Consider the following 19,546-nt stretch of genomic DNA (forward strand, 5'->3'; position numbering starts at 1 on the left):
GAAAGGAAAGAAACATGTCTGATAGCTATATTAAGCAGAGAAATAACTGATCACAGAAACATAGTAAGCATATCAGATTGTTGAGGGTTCATTTTATGTGAATTCCAGTAAAAATCATGAGCCCTAACATGTGACTTTCTCTAGCAGCACGGTTTCAGGACACAGAGAAAATAAAAAGTTGGGAATATCCACAGTTGTAGTTTTGCAAAATGAGTATTAAAAAAAAATCATTGCTTAATACTTTGCTATGAAAAAAAAAAAACGAGAGAACCAAGGGATTTTAGTATAATATGTACAGTCCTACTGCAAGAAACCATGGTTATCAAAGCTTAGATAAGAAGGAAATCAAGCATAGATGAGAAGGAAAGTATAAAGTGACAGATGATTAATTCAGAGTGAGTAGAAAAAACAATGGACTGACGATCCTTGAAATCGTGCAGAAGTAGTTGTTAGAGTACTTAAAAAAGCAAGGAGATCCTAGTCAGTAATGAGATACTTCAATTAATGACTTTGGAAACGTAACGGTAACACACAGATGATATCAAAATCCAATGTGTGACTATGAACTGGGTAGCTACAGTGAAAGTGAGGAGGAGGTCTAGAAACTGAATTCATCAAGAATGTGTGAAAATTTAGGAAAATAATAATAGCTAACATATACTTCTTACACTTCATCTGTACTGTCATAGCCTCACAATAACCCTCGGCATATGTACGAATAATTCCTATTTTAAGATGAGGAAACTGAAGTACAGAGGGTTAAGTAATGTACCTAAGGTTACACAGCTAGTGTGGCAGAGCTGGGATTCAAACCTAGGCAGCACTGGAATGTTGTCAAGATCAGTACATGCCAATAATAAGAAGGCTGGTCAGGGAGCATGAACCTCATATAAATGGGTATAGGAATAATGGTCACAAAGTAATAATGAGGAGTGCAAGCACAATAAACTTATTATCAATTACTATGAGTATGAGAGCCGAGAATAATAAACAGCTTTATCTTTAAAGAGCGTAAAAAAAAAATCAGATTCTAATCAAGGCAAGAACATTGAACGGACTCTTTAAAAATGGGGTTAAAGACTTAGGGGAGTTGCTGCTTATGAAAAAGATGTTTCCAAGGGAACAATGGAAGGTGTGGAACACCTTTACAGGGTGGTGAGGGTGGCAGAGAGGGCCAGCTGGAAGAAAGCAATGAGTAATTATAAAATAGCTTTTTCCCCTCCGTATAGTTGAATAGCCCTTGGCTGCCCATACCATGATGTTACCAGTCTGACAAGAACATATCAAACAATAAAAATATTCAAGTTCAACTAAGTTTTACTGATTGTTCCTACAACACTAATCTTTCCCTTATATGAAAGCCTGTAAAACACAAAAGGAGGAAGGGATATGTTTTCCCTATTATTTAAAAAGTATCTTAAAATAAGAAAAAACATATATCTCAATAAAGGGATAAAATACAGTCAAATCAGAAAACTTTTTAAGGCTTTCTTGTAACTTTTTAAGATCTTAAATACCTTAAGGACAATTTTCCTTTCAGAGAGCTAAAAAGGTAATACAGGCAATAGAAGGTAGTTTGCAAGTAAAGCAATGTGAGAATATTTTCAAATAGACATGCTAAAGAGTATTCATACTCATCATACCGGTAAAAATATTTTGAGTGACAACAACAAGTATTGGCAAGGATATGATGAAATTAGAACTATCATACCTTTCTCACAGGAGTTTTAACTGGTAAAACAACCCTACAGGGTAACATCTAAGTAAACTTAAAGATTATAACTATGAAATTCTACTCCTATGTTTATATCCTAAAGAAACTCCTACCTACAAATAATCAAGGACATATGTACAAAAATATTCATTGCAGGCTGGTGTGGTGGCTCACGCCTGTAACCCCAGCACTTTGGGAGGCCAAGGTGGGTGGATCACTTGAGGTGAGGAGTTCGAGACCAGCCTGACCAACATAGTGAAACCCCGTCTCTACTAAAAATACAAAATATTAGCTGGGCATGGTGCAGGGCGCCTGTAATCTCAGCTACTGAGGAGGCTGAGGCAGGAGAATCACTTTAACCCAGAAGGCAGAAGTTGCAGGGAGCCAAGACTGTGCCACTGCACTCCAGTCTGGGCAACAGAGCTAGACTTCATCTCAAAAAAAAAAAAAAAAATTCATTGCAGCATGATATGGAATAGCCAAAAATTAGAAGCAAACTATACATGCACTGTGGTCTGTACATACAATAGAATACCATCCATCAATCCAAATGAATGAACTAGAATCACAAATTTTACATCACGAAAAAATATAAAAAAAAAGCACTGAGTAAAAAGTCAGGTTGTAGAATGTTATGTACAATATAACATTTATGTGTATTTTTAAGTCATGGAAATAATACTCTTATTTATGCATGTGTCCACTTTACTTCAATTATATCTATATGAATGACTTCCAAACTTCTATCATCAACTAATCTAATTCTCTGAGCTCAAAACTCATTAATTTAAGAATCTGAACACTGCAGTGTAATGTGATTCAACAATATGATTCAATTTTATTTCAGCCTCACTGAAAAATCACTTGAAAATCTAATTGTACCAACAAATAATGGCTTGGTATTAATAAGTCAAATATTTCATTTATATAGCTATATAAGGAAAAAAGAATTCTTAAAAAGGGACAGAGACAAATAATTATATGAACAGGCACACAGGCAATATTCACGGGGAGTGCCACTGGTAGCCTTACCTGAATAGAAGGGACATCTGTAAAAGCTTTTATAAAATCATCTTCATCAACTGCTCCAGCACCTCCTTCCTTAGAAGCACCTGCTAATTAAAAGGAAATTAATTTCCTAAGGTTCATTTTTAAGCATCTTAACATTAATGACAACATGAAAAATAAAACTCTTTTGATATCAACAAAAGTATAATTTTAAGGGATATTCCATTTTATAAGAAAGCATTTAAAAAATCTCCAACTTTCAGAAAGGTCAATGTACTTTGTAATGCCGATTCATTATAAGGTACTAGGCTAGGCGGGTTGTAATATTCAAACTGTTAAGAACACAGCCCTGAAACCCGCCTCCCTATTCAATGCACTAGCAAACACAAATAAACATAAGTAAGGACAAACATTTTAAAAGTTGAACAGCAACTTAAAATGACACTAAATGTCAATAAATGATAGTGTGATGCAGAAAATCTGTGTATGCTACTATGGTCAGGAAAGCATGAAAGAAATGAGAGTCTTGAAATTAATTACACAAACAAATCTTCCATTATTGCACATTGACAATAAAAAAGTAAACTTAGTAGGCAGTAGTTATTGAAGAGCCAATAACTAAGCTATTCTTTCAGTTCTAAACCTACTCTTCTATATATACACTGCTTTAAGATGCTGAACCTAGTATTCATTAAACCAATTTTTCTGTTGATTTTAATGGTTTCCTCTCCTCTTAAACTCTGGCAATAGGGGGTGTTGGAGAGAGACTGGAAGCTAAAGGAAGGGAACTGTTTCTTCCTGATTGCTTTCCATTATTTGCAGTAGAATCCTAGCAACTCTGGTAGACCACTCATTCCAGGAGCAGCACCTGACTCCAGTTTGCAGTTTTTCTAACACTCACTGAATCAGCTCACTGTGCCATCACACAGCACCAACTAGCCTCCACCCTCTCCTTAGAGGTCTGAGTCCCAGATCTGTGGAGCCCCTGAGTTCTCATTCCTGAATGTAGGCTCCTTTGACAATGTGACTCTGCAGCTCATCCTATCCAAAAACGAAGTCCCCAACCAATAAGTGGGGCAGAGTACCCTAGAATTCTTGAGTTGAGACAAGAGAGGCTGACGCAGTTCTGACTGACGACTCCCCAGTGTTAAGCAGGAATAAATCTTCTCTGGGAGAAAGTTGTTTCTGGTAGGCCCAAAGGACTCCCACCAGCTAAGTTCAAGCAATGAGTTCACAATCAAAGATCAAATACACAAGAAGGCAAGAGTCACAGGGAACAGATAATAGATTTGAGAACCGTCGATATTAGAATTGTCCAGTACAGATTACAGAACAGATGTGAATATATATGTTTAAAGAAATCAAGGATGGACTCACAAAGAAGGATGGACTCACAAAGATGACCAATCAACAAGAGGCCATTAGGAATAAACAGATGAACTTGGGGGTGGGGGGATGAAACAATCTGAATTGGGTAATACAAGAGTTTAAATTTTTTAAATAATTAAACATATTTAAGAACAACTTAGAGAGCTAGAAGATATACCTGAATACATTACCCAAAATGTGGCAAAGAGAAAAAGGAAATGGAAAGACATAAAGAGATACAAAGGACAGTATGAGAATATCTAACTAACATATGTCTATTGGGGTGTCTTAAAGATATTTAACAAGAGATAACAGCTGTGAAATTTCCAGATTAATGAAACAAGAATCTTTATAAATTCAGGATGTGCAACATAACCCGAGCAAGATAAATAAAAAGAAATCCAAACTTAGAACTTGGCGGTGTAACTGCACAACTCCAAAGACAGAGACAGTAATCAGAGAAAGAAGAGATCACCTAGAAAGGAACAACAATTTGAACAACAGATTTCTCAAGTGCAATAGTGGAAGCCAGGGAGAATATACTAATAATATCTTGCAAGTTTTGAAAGAAGAAAATATTGGCAAAATATTATCTAAACTGTGTACCTAGCAAAAGTAATTTTTAGACAAGTGGAAAAAATTAGATGCGCATTTTAATGAATAAAACAAAACCATCATTACTATTTAAAATGGTATGATGGTATCAGGGAGTGGCAAACTTTATCTATAAAGGGCCACACAGTAATATTTTAGGCGTCAAGGGCTATATGGTCTCTGCTGCAATTACTCAACTCTGCAAATGAATGGGTGTGGCTGTGTTTCAATAAAACTTTATTTACAAAACCAGATAGCCAGATATGGCCTGCCAGATGCAGTTTCTCACACACTGGTGTAGACAGAAAAGTCAAAAAATATCCTTTGACCAACGAAGGATATAGAATTTCAGTTAAGATAGAAGGAATAATTTCAAGAGATCTATTGTACAACATGACTACAGTTAACAACAATGCATTGTATTCTTGAAAATTGCTGAGAGATTTTAAGTATTCTCACCACTAAAAACTGAAGTGAGATAATGTATAGATTAACTGTTCAATTTAGCCATTCTACAATGGATACATATTTCAAAACATGTGGTACACAATAAATATATATAATTTTAGTTGTCTATATAGTAAAATCATTCAAAATTCAACTTCCTAAGGTAGCTGGAAATAAAATCAATATACAAAAATCGATTTCATTGCTAAGCACTAGCAACGAAGTTAGAAATTTGAAAGAGTGAAAAAATTTGGGAAAATAATAATTTTTAATGTAATATTAAAGCACTGAAATAAATGGAGAGCCAGGCGCAGTGGCTCACACCTGTAATCTGGGAGGCTGAGCCAGACAGACTGCCTGAGCTCAGGAATTTGGGACCAGCCTGGGCAATATGAAGAAACCATGTCTCTACTAAAAATACCAAAAAAAAAAACCCAGCCAGGAGTGGTGGTGTGTGCCTGTAATCTCAGCTACTTGGGAGGCTGAGGCACGAGAATCGCTTGAACCTGGGAGGCAGAGGTTGCAGTGAGTGTGAACTGAGATCGTGCCACTGCACTCCAGCCTGGGTGACAGAGCGAGACTCTGTCTCAAAAAAGAAAAAAAAAAATTACAAATGAAATAAACGGAGAGATATTGCAGGCTCATGAACAAGAAGGAATGGTATCATGAAGTGTCCAGTCTTCCCTAGGTGTTGCAATAATAATCAAGCTTCCAAAAAGGTTTCTTGTGGAACTTGTCAAGCGGATTCTAAAATCTGTCTGGAAGAGCAATAGGCCAAACATTCCTGCAGAAGAAAAGAGGGGCTACTTACGCTATCAGACAACAAGACTTACAAAGCTGAAATAACTAGGAGAATTAGGTTTTAGTGCAGGGATAGACCAACTAACCAAATAAATAAAATGGAAAGTTCAAAAACAGACCCACAAATGTAAGAAATTTTGATATATGAAAAAGAAGTGATTCAGATCAAAGGGGAAGGTAGAAACTATTCAATAATAATGTCCCAAAATTCAACAAAATGCAGAGACAATGGATTATTCAGTTTTTTAAAAAAGTTTTTCCTTATCCAGTATTAAAACTTACAGTAGACATTCTACTTCCCTTAGGAAAATGATAGGCATCCAAACTCAAATCAAATATACAAACAAATATTCCAAAACCCACAGAGAGCAAATAAAATTACCCATAGCCCTTGCTTTTAATACAAATAAGAGACAAATAACACTTCAAATTTCATTTCAAGTAATTGAGGAAAATATAAACATCCAAGACAAGCAATGTTAACTACAGAGCCCTTACTGAAAAAAATCAGAGGAAACTGTGTAGAAAAGAATCCTGGTAGTTAGTTGTATAACGTAGACACCAACTAAGGTTCTCTCTAGGACAAGAAGTAAATAGCAATTAGAAGTGGGAGGTATCCTTTTGAATCCTGGTGGATAAAGAAAAGGAAGAAACAAAAAATAAGGGCTCTGTTCAAATAAGATGGTAATCACAGAATCAGAAGTAGAAAGCCCCCAACAAATCACGTAGTAAAGAAGGTGCATTTCACTATACCAACAGAAGAGGGCCCTCTTAAACTTAAAAACTAAGCAAACCTTTTTTTCCTGGCCCCACGGAATCTACTTGTTACTTGAGGTCTATGAAAATCCAATATATCATCATAAACAAAATAATCTGACATCTATACTGTGCTCCAATAAGAAAACAAAGGAACAGAAATATTTTCTGCTGATAAAAGTAACTCCCTAAAATTAAAAAAAACACCTACCAAGAAGGAAAAAACTATAACACAATTCTCCAACATAAATTCAATATTAACTAAACAGCAATTACAGGTATAAAAGAAAGATGAATGAGAATATAAAAAATTCTGAATATATATAGAAGATATGAAAAGACAGCTGGCTAAAGTCAGGAAAAAAATTTTTGTTTGTTTATTTATTGCGACAGAGTTTCGCTCTCTTGCCAGGCTGGAGTGCAGTGGTGTGATCTCAGCTCACTGCAACCTCCACCTCCTGGGTTCAAGCGATTCTCCTGCCTCAACCTCCATAGCAGCTGGAACTATAGGCACGTGCCACCACTCCCAGCTAATTTTTGTATTTTTAGTGGAGACAGGGTTTTACCATATTGGCCAGGCTGGTATTGAACTCCTGACCTCAAGTGATCCACCCACCTTGGCCTCCCAAAGTGCTGGGATTACAGGTGTGAGCCACTATGCCTGGCCAAAAATTTTGTTTAAAGACAAAATCACCTGAGAAATAAACAGTAAATTACCAACTATCCAAGAGAGAATAAGTATATCCTGGTTTGAATTTTAAAAGCTATAAAAAATATTCTTAGGACAACTGAGAAAACTTAAATACGTAGGTAAGCTGACTAAAAGGAAGTGAATATATAGGTTAATAAACTTACAGAAAATAAAAGAGCTACAGAAATAAATAACATCACAAAGAAATGAGACAAATACAGAACACAAGACAATCTTAAAAAACAACTGGCCTAGACTCCAAAAAGTCAAAGTCACAGAGATAAAAACTGATGAGGAAACTGTTTTACAGATAACATTATAGAATTCTCAGGTGTGGTGGCTCACGTCTGTAATCCCAGCACTTTGGAAGGCCAAGGCAGGCGGATCACTGGAGGTCAGGAAATCCTGACTAGCCAGGCAACATGCTGAAACCCCATCTTTACTAAAAATACAAAAATTAGCTGGGCATGGTGGTGGCAGGCAACTGTAGTCCCAGCTACTTGAAAGGCCGAGGCAGGAGAATCGCTTGAACCTGGGAGGTGCAGGTTGCAGTGAGCCGAGATCATGCCTCTGCACTCTAGCCTTAGCAAGAGAGCAAGACTCCGTATCAAACAAAAAAAGAAAAAAGAAAAAGAAAAAATCTGAACTTCACTAGAATATAAACTCCAGGAGGCCAAGGTCTTCGTGTTCATTTACATTTCCCAGAGACTTCAAAACTAGCAGCACACTAAAAGCCTTCAGTAAATATTTGCAAGCTGTTGGCCAGACAGATAGGTGGAGGAAAAAAATGCAAATTAACGAATCATCGTTTTTTACCCATCACAATGGCAATAACTAATGAGGCTGGTATATTCAGTGCTGCAGAAGGTAAAATGTTGTCTTTATTAAAATTAAAAACACATAAAACCTTTGACTAAACAATTCCACTTAGAGGAATCTATTTTATAAAATAGAAGCAGCAGAATTTCAAAACATGTAAGTACATAAAGATCTGCATTTTCTGTAATGACTTAAACATGCAAACAACCTGAATGACATCGATAGGGAAAGTTTATTAAATCATGGTACATCAATAATGTGGAATACTGTATCACTAATTAAAAGGATGCAATAGCTGTCATTCTTGATGCTGAAAGATGTTCTGTGAAAAAAAGCAACTTGTGAAGTTTTTATCAGTATGTTTAATATGGGAAAAATAAAACCTAATATGAGTGCCTACATAAATAAACACGGAGTAATACGTGGAAGGGTACATATCAAACTTAACATTAGTTACACCTCAGGGTGATGAGAGAGGCAAGATGTTATTAAAGTTTTTTAAAACTCTCCGTTGTTTGATTTAACAATGAGAATGATTTTCATTCTTTTTATTTTTTTATTTTTATTTATTTATTTTTTGAGATGGAGTCTCGCTCCGTCGCCCAGGCTGTAGTGCAGTGGCGCAATCTCGGCTCACTGCAAGCTCCACCTCCCGGGTTCATGCCATTCTCCTGCCTCAGCCTCCCGAATAGCTGGGACTACAGGCACTCGCCACCATGCCCAGATAATTTTTTTTGTATTTTCAGTAGAGACAGGGTTTCACCGTGTTAGCCAGGATGGTCTCGGTCTCCTGACCTTGTTAGCCGCCCGCCTAGGCCTCCCAAAGTGCTGGGATTACAGGCATGAGCCACCACACCCGGCCTCAATTCTTTTCATTAGTAAGAAACACATAAACTGGTTTTTAAAGACAGAAATGATCAGTTGATGAAAAAAATTGTTTATATTCACATGTCCTTTATAGAAACAATGCTTCTTACCAAGTCAACTATATTAGAATGTATGTGATAAATGTAAGCCAAGCATGCAGTTATTGTAACTTCTACTTCATATGGATCAACTATAATGATTCTAACTAATGGAAAATTCTTCATATGTGAGATCTATAATAATAACATTTCACTCTTTTCTGAGGTAAACTTTCATTTGTATTCCTATAAGAGACTTCACAATTTTCTAACACCCAAATTTCAGTCAAAAAGTATAGGCAAATAAAGTATGGGAGGACCAAAATGCTAACAATAATTAACACTAGTTGGCAGAATAATGGGCAGGTACTATATCTTTTTGTAAGTTTAAAACCATGAATTAAACATTCCATATGGTCCTTTTTTTTGGAGACAAGGTCTCGCTGTCACATGGGCTGGAGCGCAGTGGTGTGATCACGGTGCACTACAGCCTCAACCTCCTGGGTTCAAGTGATCCTCCCACCTCAGCCTCCTTAGTAGCTGGGAATACAGGAATGGGCCATCACACCCAGATAATTTTTGTATTTTGTGTACAGACAGGGTTTTGCCATGGTGCACAGGCTGGTTTCGAACTCCTGGGCTCAAGCAACCCACCCACCTCCATCTCCCCAAGTGCTGGTATTACAGGTGTGAGCCACCATGTCCCAATATGGTCCTCTTTGTTGATTAACGTGGAGCCTTGCACATAGTAAGCTCTATATACAAATGTAAATAGAAACAGTAACATCCATAGAAAGGCTAGGTCTTTAGTTGGCTTAATTTCTCTTTTCTTAAACATTCTGAATTCCTCAAAAAATAAACCTTGTATAATAAAATGTTTTTGTCACTTTAATTTTTGCACAGGAAGTAAAACAAAATTGGGGTCAAATAATATAATTACAGTAAAACACATATTCTTATACATAGTAAGAAATAATGCAACTTACTATTTTATAGTTAAAATAATTTATATGTTATTTACTCAAATCATACGTACTGTATAATCAACGTTAGGAGAGAAAGCATCAGGGATGGATAGTCAATGATCTGGGATTCACAGTAATTTCAGACAGACTGGCGACTGGTCAATCCCTAAATTCCAGATTTCAATAAAAGTGATCTGCTATATGGGATTAAAAATAATAAATATGTATGATATGCAGTATTACTTAGGAGATTACCCGGAGATGATCCAAGAGGAAGCCCCTGACAGTGGGTCAAGCACTGAGTTCTCGTCTCATCTCATCTCATTAGATGGTTACTAATAACCATGTGATCTTGGGCACATCATTCAATGCTCTGAGGCTCAATCTCTTTTCCTGAATCTGGGTCAGATAATCTTTAACGCCCCTTTAAGGTGAAAATCTTCTGAGTTTTAGTATCTTCTTCAGTAAGGGAAGAAGAGAGGAAGAAACCAAAACCAAAACACAGAAGTGTTACTTGGTTTCACAGAAAGCTGAAAAACAAAATAATAAGGTCTACTAGTCAAAATTTTGGATTCCAGAATTAAAAAACAAAATTCTTAAGATTTATTTTATTACATATACTGATTCTTGTGATCTTTATTTGGTCAAAAGAAAAACAATTTTGTTGTCTGCATGATGGGAAAAATGGGAATAACTAGCATCATTTGTAGAAAATAGATATTTGGACATTCTTTAAATCTCAGGTTAGACATAAAGTGAAGTAAAACAAATAGAAAATATCATAAAGATTAGTAAGTACTACTAAATGTAAAATGGCAGCAATTACCTAATTATAAGAACTGAAAGTTAAAACCATTTCAAAGTAGTCTTTGACATTAGATAGAAACAATACAGAGAAAATACACTGTCCACTTGAATGAATGAGTGAGTGAGTGAGTGAGTGAGTAAAAGAGAACTTTAAGAATTGAAGATTTGGTCAATGATGTGTCTCAATGATTACATACAAGCTTCAATGACAAATCACTAACCTCAAAATCTGGTACTAGTTATTTTAAAAATGATAATTATATCATCATCTAATTCAACCCTTATTTTTTTAAAAAGAGTAGCAGCCAAAATGATTGATACAGGAATAGGGATATTATAACCCAGAAAATAAACTTGAAGAAGGCAATTTCAACAAGAAAATACTGAAAAGCATTTTTATTTACAATGTAAAAATTAAAGGTCTGCTTATTCCAAATGCTCTATTTTGCTGGGAATCATACTAGTTGAGCTTTAAAACGACTGATTTATGGATGCCGAAAATTAGTGATCATTTCTGTAGATTACAATCTCAGTGCTATAGAATCTAAAAGAAACCTTATTTACCAATAGAAATTAGTATGATGGCAGTATAGCAAAGTGATTTTTGTGCTTTGCCCTCTTATTAGATAAATGACCCTGGCAGGTTACTTCTCCAAATTGCAGTTTGCTCATCAGTAAAATCAGTTTGCTCAGAGATGTTCTTATATATACATTCTTTCATTTAAATCTCAGAATCTTTCATTTTGAAATTTAAATGAAAGAATATATATAAGAACATTAAAGAATTGTATTAAAAATTGTTACCTAAAATACTGTAAAGATATAAATATTTTAAATAATCAGGTACTTTCAGCAATTCTAGTAACCATTGAGCCAAAAGAAAGAAAAATGTGTTTATCTAAATTTCTATTATGAAGTTACAAGTGTTATTCAGAAAATAGACTATTTGAGAATTTACTTTATCCTTATTCTAATTAGTAAGGCACAAAGGTAACACTTTCGACACTTACATAATATGGATTTTTATAGCAATGATACATATACTGTATGAACCTAGCCATAGCCTTTTTTTCAAGTCTCCTTGGCTTAAAGGCTACACATTTATTAATACAATATGAGAAGAAAAGGGTGGCATACGAAGGCCAAAGAACAAAGCAAATTAACATACACTAAAGATTAAACACAAGACTTATGAGCTTTAATTAACTGGATAGGATACTTTGCTAAAAATTGCATACAGCCCTAATCTGGATATATATCTCTAGAAGAAGTAAAATACATTCCCAAACTACAAAAGCAGATTAAGTCACGATTCCAAAGAAGCTCACTGTATTTTTTTTTTTTTATTTTGGTAATCTTACTTGAAAAGAGATTTGTCAAACCCAGTGGCTGTGTCTGGCTTACGCCACTATTATACATTTCCACCTACTATATCCCTTTAATTAGAAGCTAATCACATCTATCTATTTATTATATACCTCGGAGTAGCAAATAATACATTGAGACTGAATCACCACCATTCAATGTAAAATCATGGGAAAGATAATGTATAGTCCAGAAAACAGAATAGTCATAAAGAGAAATAGAACAATCTTCAAGTATCTGAAAGCATGTTGACAAATAATTCATTTTCCCTGCATATGCTACAAGGAGGTAGATTTTAATGCAACATAAAAAAGAATTTGTTTATTCAGAACTGAAATGGGCTTGTTTCTGGAAAATACTTTGCCAAACTGAAAGAACACTAAAAATCCCTGAATCTTTCGATCCAGCGAACTTTAGAAATTTATTCCAAAGAAATCATTGCAGATGTGCTGAAAGATATATATAAAAGAATGCTGACACGGTTTATAGAAGGAGAAAAGGCTCATGGCAACCTAGGCATTATTTAGCCATGAATAATTTTCAATTAATAATTTAAGACAACGAGAAAATGCTTAGGGTAAAATATAAGTTACAAAAAAACTACACAATGAATAGTGCCACTTTTGTTCTTCTACCAAGAAAATATTTGTATATGTAAAAATAATTGGAAAAGTAACTGGAAGAAAACAAATCATAATTTAGCAGTTGATTATGTCCATGTGTAGTGGCACGGCAGGTGATTTTTGTTCTAAATTTTAATTCAGAGCAGATAGTACTACTTTAATCAAGTTGAATAATCATCTATCAGGAATTTTATTAAAGAAACTATGTGACTCCCAAGGTCTTTTCCAACTCAAAAATTCTACAACTCTAAGAAAACTTTCTACAACCAATTTAAAAATCAACAAGTCTTTGCCAAGACCAAAAAAACTAAAGTTAAATTTTCAAAGGACTGACAGTCAAGAATGGCATTCATTTTAGAAGTAATATCAATATCCTCTGGCCAGTAGCTCTTTTCTTAGATAGAAAAATGGGCAATAAACCTAAATGAGCTCTGATAAAAAAAAGAAACAAGAATATACCTGCAATTGCCAAAACGAAGAAGAAGAAGAAAAAGGAGGAGGAAGAGGAAGAGAAAAAGGAGAAAGGAATGAAGGCTTCTACCTTATTTTTGGCAGAAAGGCTGTTGCTTAGATGGCTGATAAAATCTTTAAGTGATTAATTACTATACTCATGAAAGCTACTTAACCTTTTCATTTAACTGGTAGGAATAGAAACTACAAGAATGGGGGTGGAGGAGCTTAAGAAAGTTTATCCTTTTTACAAAGGAGTATCTGATTATATCAATATGATTAATATCAGAATGATAGGTAAATTTCAATTTTCTTCTAAAAAGATACCAAACCACGAAAAAAAATTATAAGCCACTGGTTCAATTCATAAAATGTTATATATTATCACCACAAATCTCAAATATTCATCCATTTTAAGCTAAAAAGACAGCTTCATAAAATTATAATATCATAGATTAGAATTCTGTAATTCAAAATTAAGAAAAAGATTCCCCTTGTAATAACTGAAGAGAGCTATTTGTTATAAAAGGAAGAAACCAAAAAATGTCATATACTTTTTACTAGCGGTAAATAGGAATGCAACATAAAAACTATCTTCTAATGGGATATCATAACTAACATTTGGATGAGAATACAACCATAAAATTACAAGACAAAAAGAAAATAATTAAAAATCTAAAGTATAGATTACTTGAAACATCCAGAGAAATCAGCAAGACATTTTAATTTCAGCTATTTAGTTATATGTGCATCTATATATATATTTATACACCCATATGTGTATGTATATATATCACACCATCTTTATTGCTAGTTATATGACACAGAAGATCGTTTAAATGAAATACTTATGATAGTTTTTCTATATTTAGAATCTCACATGATGGGAAAAAACTGGGGGTTGTATAGAAAGATCAAGGGAACACAACTCCTTATGGAACCTGGTCAAAATATACAGTTTATTTTTCTTTCCTTTTTGGTTTTTAATAAAAAGAACTATAGACAAAAAGAAAAAACAAAAATCCTCAAGACCATGATTTTCTCACCAGTTACTGTAAACAAGGAAAGATATGTTTTCCCAAAATATCACAACTAAGACATACATTTATTTTTAAAAAGGAAAGAAAGGAAAAGAGAAAGAGATTACTGTCTTTTTAGAATTAAATACCCTTATTTTCACAGATTCATTCTATCAGAAAGATGTAGCAGAAACTAACACCGGAAATATACTCACGGCTTTCTAATTAACACATGAAAGAATACCCATTAAAAAATTTAAAGATAAACAATATGCTAGAAACAGTTCTAATATGATCAATGAATATGCTATGAATTATAAAATTGCATGAAACCTGATTTTTCTTATTTTCCTATTATGATTTAATCCAGGAACCATTTTTGAGGCAATTTTACTTGACCACCACCCATCTCCTATTGTGACAAATGATTCAGTACCCAGTATCTTCAACCATTTTTTAAATGCTGGAGTATTTAAGACTTACTACCTAGAGGAATGTGTAAAAACATTACATAATTCAACATTTCTGTAACAGCTATTGCACTTGAAAATTAGTAGCCAAATTCTGAAAAACCTGTTCTCTGCTTAAAAAAAACAAAAAAACCCCAAAAAACTTCCATAAATCTTTTTCAAAATGGCATCTGAAAAATAAATACCCTCAAGAAGAGACTAATTCACATACATTCTTAGAGGAAATAGCAGTATACAATATTTTATACATTTCAAAAGGGCATCGTATTCTTCTGAATGTTGCAACAGACTCCAGATCTGCAATCGTGCTGCAGTCATGAATAAACATATTCCTCTGAAGTTCCAAGTATGTGTGGCCATATCAAGGGCATGGAGCATGCATAACAGATTTGAAATGGATTTACATTACCTCCAACCTTAGGGCCACCTGCTGAACCAGGCTTCCTTGCACTGTTGGCAGGATTTCCGGATGTTTTAGGTGCAGGAACCTTGAAGGCTGATGCAGCTGATGATGGCCTATTTCCATCCACTGATTCTTCATCATCGAAGCTTTTATCTGCACAAAGCATCAGAAAAATGTATTTAAGAGAACTAAGCTTTGTTCCATTTTCCCTAAAGCTCAAAAATAAAATAAAGCCATATATAAAATCATTACTTTGGTAAGATATATAATACGAAATAAAGGTCCTTTGAATAAGCATTTATATATTGGCTAACACCATATAAAATAATCCTCTGTAATTCAAAATCAAAATGCAGTATTTTCATACTTCTTACTTATACATATTAAGTCAAAACATAAAACATTTTAACTCTAAAGGTAGTAAAAGTATTTTTCATGTTTTTGCTACTCTGCATTTTCTGCCAGCTCCTCCCATAGTGTATCTTCTAGCACGCCCTGCCTTATTCCTTATACCCAGATTCTGCAACTTACAATCACAGATCCGTTTGCAAATCAGTCGCCTCATTCCTCTGAAAGCTCTTAATTTCCCTCACCCTAGGAGGCTCCCAATAGTTCACATGGCCAAATACAGTAAATTCGATACTAATCAAAGATTCTATCAAAAAAAGACAGAAACAACCACAGAACCACCACTGAGGTTTGTGCCGGCATTTTTCTTTCTCTTCCCTGCCCTAGGTGCTGTAACAGCCAATCAGCTACAAGGTGACATCATCTTATGGCAGCTACTGCCAGATGAAAGGTAAAAATTCTCCATGCATCTAAAAAATTCTCTATTAGCTATAATCCTTATTCTATATCAAAATTTCAAAGGCATTCAAAACTAAAGGCTTAGAAATCTGTTTTTCTTATTTGACATGAAAATTTATATAAATAGAAAATAAGGTTTTATGCAATATTCATTCTGCTGGGATGCTTATTGCATCAGTAAAGCATAGACTGCCACAGTGCTCATTACTGTGCATAATTAACTCTGTAATCTTAAAATCTGCTCTTTATTTAAGCCATAGAAACCAAACAAAACAATTTGTTTTCATAAATGATTCTACAAGGCTCCTTTCGGAATATGAATGACCACACTAGTATCATCTACTTATATGCAAATGAAACATCTCCCAGCATACACACACACACACACACACACACACACACACACACACACACACACAATGTATTTTACTCTCCTGAGAAGAGATGGTTTTCTCTAGGACCCTGCACAAATCAACCATGACAAACAACATGGGCGAGGCAGAGAAGCAGCTTTACCACACGCTTCAGATGAATATGCCAGAATCTTTTCCTTTCAATGAACTTTCTTTACTTAAACAAACACCCAATCACCTAGAATTAAATAATTCCTATAAAGAGATATTATTAAATATTTTAAAGAAAAATAACTATTTTTAATATATAACTATTTAACTATTAAATATATCTTAAAATATGCCAAGAAAGTTTTAAGACTTATTTATTAAAAGAAAAAAGAATCAAATAGACACTCTAAAGTCACATTCTATTTCAGAAAGTGTTTTTAAGTAATACAACTTGCAGGAAAAAATTATCTTCTACTCTTAAAAAATTATTTTTTTAGCATAACACTATTAGGGAGTCAGTTTGGATAAATTAATAAGCTTAAAACCTATGCAGTACATAGACGGCTTTGTTAAAAACACTAATACAATTCCAAATAAACTTCTTTGCTACTGTTATGTTAAAAAAAATGCAGCTAAGAAAGAGTAGACATACAAATCTACAGAAAGTTAAGCACTAAAACACAGAGCAGCCAGAAGTTCCCATGGAAACAGTATTCTGTTCCTACACACACACAAGAATTGAAAAGAGTAAATATGTCCCTACCATTAAAAAAAAAATTAACTCTTTTCTCAAACTACTGGGAAATTAATTTTTAAAGTTTTTATCAAAATACAGCAAAGTATACAAATCATAAGTACACAGCTAATTAATTTTCACAAAATGATCATGCCAGTATAACCAGTATCCAGATCCACAGATTACCAGCATCGTGTAAGTACCCTCGAGACTCCTAAAAGTCTACATTTACTACCAAAGCTAACTAGTCTCGAATTCTAACACTTGGTTTTGTTCATTTTTGAACATTATATAAAATGAATCATACAATATGTATTCTGGTATCTAGCTTCTTTTTACTCAATGTTGGAAGGATAATGTTTGGAAGATTCATTTTCATTGCTGATAGTTTTCTACTGTGTGAAAGTACCACAATTTATTAATATCCATTCTACTACCGACAAGACATGGGCTGTTCCAGTATGAGGTTATTATAAAATGGTACTACTAAAAGGTAAGCAAACAAAGTCAAAGGTTTCTAAAGATTTGAGCCTTACTGAGGAAGTAGTAAACACAATAATTTATTTTAGATTATTTTAGATTATAACTATATATAATTAGATTTTAGATTAATAATTTATTTTAGATTATAAGTCAAAGATGCATAGTAATATCTATGGCACCAGTCCTCAAAATGTGGCCCCTATACCAGCAGCTGAGCATCACCGGGCAATTTGTTAAAAATGCAAATTCCTGGGCCCCAACCCAAACCTACTGAATCAGAAACTCTAGAGTAATCTATGTATTAACATACAAGCCCTCCCAGTCATTCTGATGCATGATTGAGTTTAAGAATCACTCCCCTAGGGGAGGGGATGGCATTCTTTTTCTATAAAGGACCACACAGCAAATATTTTAGGCTTTGTAAACCATACACATACGGCCTTTCCATGCAACTACTCAATTATGACATTATAGCTCCAAAGCAGTTATATACACACAATATGTAAACAAACGAGTGCAGTTGTGCTTCAATAAAATTTTATATACAAAAACAGGAGGGCAGATGGTTTTGATCCGCAAGCAACAGTTTGCCAATCTCTGCTCTAGGCTAACTACTAAAAGAAGAGTAAGTAGGCCGGGCGCGGTGGCTCACGCCTGTAATCCCAGCACTTTGGGAGGCCGAGGCAGGTGGGTGACGAGGTCAGGAGATTGAGACCATCCTGGCTAACACGGTGAAACCCATCTCTACTAAAAATACAAAAAATTAGCCAGGCGTGGTGGTGGGCGCCTGTAGCCCCAGCTACTCAGGAGGCTGAGGCAGGAGAATGGCGTGAACCTGGGAGGTGGAGGTTGCAGTGAGCTGAGATCGCACCACTGCATTCCAGCCTGGGCAACAGAGCGAGATTCCGTCTGCAAAAAAAAAAAGAGTAAGTATACACATAGAAGAAAATGAAAATAAATTTAAAATATCTGATTAACTGAAAAGAAGAGATACAAAAAGAAAAATAAAACAAGTGGATACGATAGAAAATAAAATAGTAAATATAAAACCAAGGATATCAGTAATTCTCTTAAATATAAATGAACTAGTAAAAGTGAAAGACCCAGGCTGAATTTTTAAAAATAGGTTGCTTAAATGAGATATATTTTTACCTATAAGGTCACAAAAAGGTTAGGGAAAGACAGACTAAAGGAAAACACAAATCAAAAGAAAGCTGGTGTAGCTACACTAATTTCAAACAAAGCAGCTTGAAAAAGCATTACTGGAGATAAAGAGAGATGTTTAATAATGAGAAAGCGGTTATTCCACGGGAAAAAAATCAGAACCCTGAATATTTATGTACCCAGTAACACAGCTTCATATATATAAAACAAAAACTGAAAAACTAAAAAGGAAAAATAAATAAATCTAGAAACATAGGAAGAAATAAAATTTTACCCACTTCCAATAAGGTTATGGTTTTTATTACTATCAGCTAAAAGAATTCATAAAACTAATTCATTATCACTAGCCCTAAAATTTAAAATTTTTGTTAAACATTTGTAAAAGGTTATAAATATTCTGGGCTTGAATTTTTTTCTAAATAACTATGAAATATCAAAACAAGCCTCAATTATTTTCTTCCTAGCAGCTATCACTTACTGAAATAATAGACACTGATTTTTATATGTGGATTGGAAGCTTCTTAAGGAGAAGAAACTGTCTTGTTCATGCTGCAACCCCATTACCTAGAACAGTCTAGGAATAACTGTCACAGCCAACTAACTCTTCCTGCTGCTTACCTCATCCCCTAAAGTTTATTCTCAACATGGCATCCTGGGTTGAACAAAGTCATATCACATCACTGTTCAAAATCCTCCTATGACTACATAAAAAGGTCTACCAGAACTCTAAGATCTTAACGGTCACACAGGTCTCTCCAACCTTATCTCCTACTTCTTTCTCTCTAATCCCCCCACCAGCCTAGCCTC

General features: G+C 34.5%; 1 protein-coding gene across 81 annotated transcripts in view; it reads right to left on the reverse strand.

Moving 5' to 3' along the window:
- The window catches only part of CLASP2 (cytoplasmic linker associated protein 2), a 222,010-nt gene that overhangs the window by 133,301 nt on the left and 69,163 nt on the right, over positions 1-19,546 (reverse strand). For 39 of the 81 annotated variants that reach the window (NM_001375713.1, NM_001400406.1, NM_001375705.1 and 36 more), the window contains 2 exons: positions 15,212-15,358; positions 2,747-2,826 (listed from right to left, as the gene is read on the reverse strand). In NM_001375713.1, coding sequence (NP_001362642.1) covers positions 2,747-2,826; positions 15,212-15,358 — 227 coding nt within the window. Of the gene's footprint in view, positions 1-2,746; positions 2,830-15,211; positions 15,359-15,736; positions 15,930-19,546 lie in introns of those variants that run through there. The other 42 variants (NM_001375703.1, XM_047447761.1, NM_001365633.1 and 39 more) reach the window with 3 other exon arrangements.

The sequence above is a fragment of the Homo sapiens genome, chromosome 3 (assembly GCF_000001405.40).
Source record: "Homo sapiens chromosome 3, GRCh38.p14 Primary Assembly".
In the NCBI taxonomy this organism is placed as follows: Eukaryota; Metazoa; Chordata; class Mammalia; order Primates; family Hominidae; genus Homo; species Homo sapiens.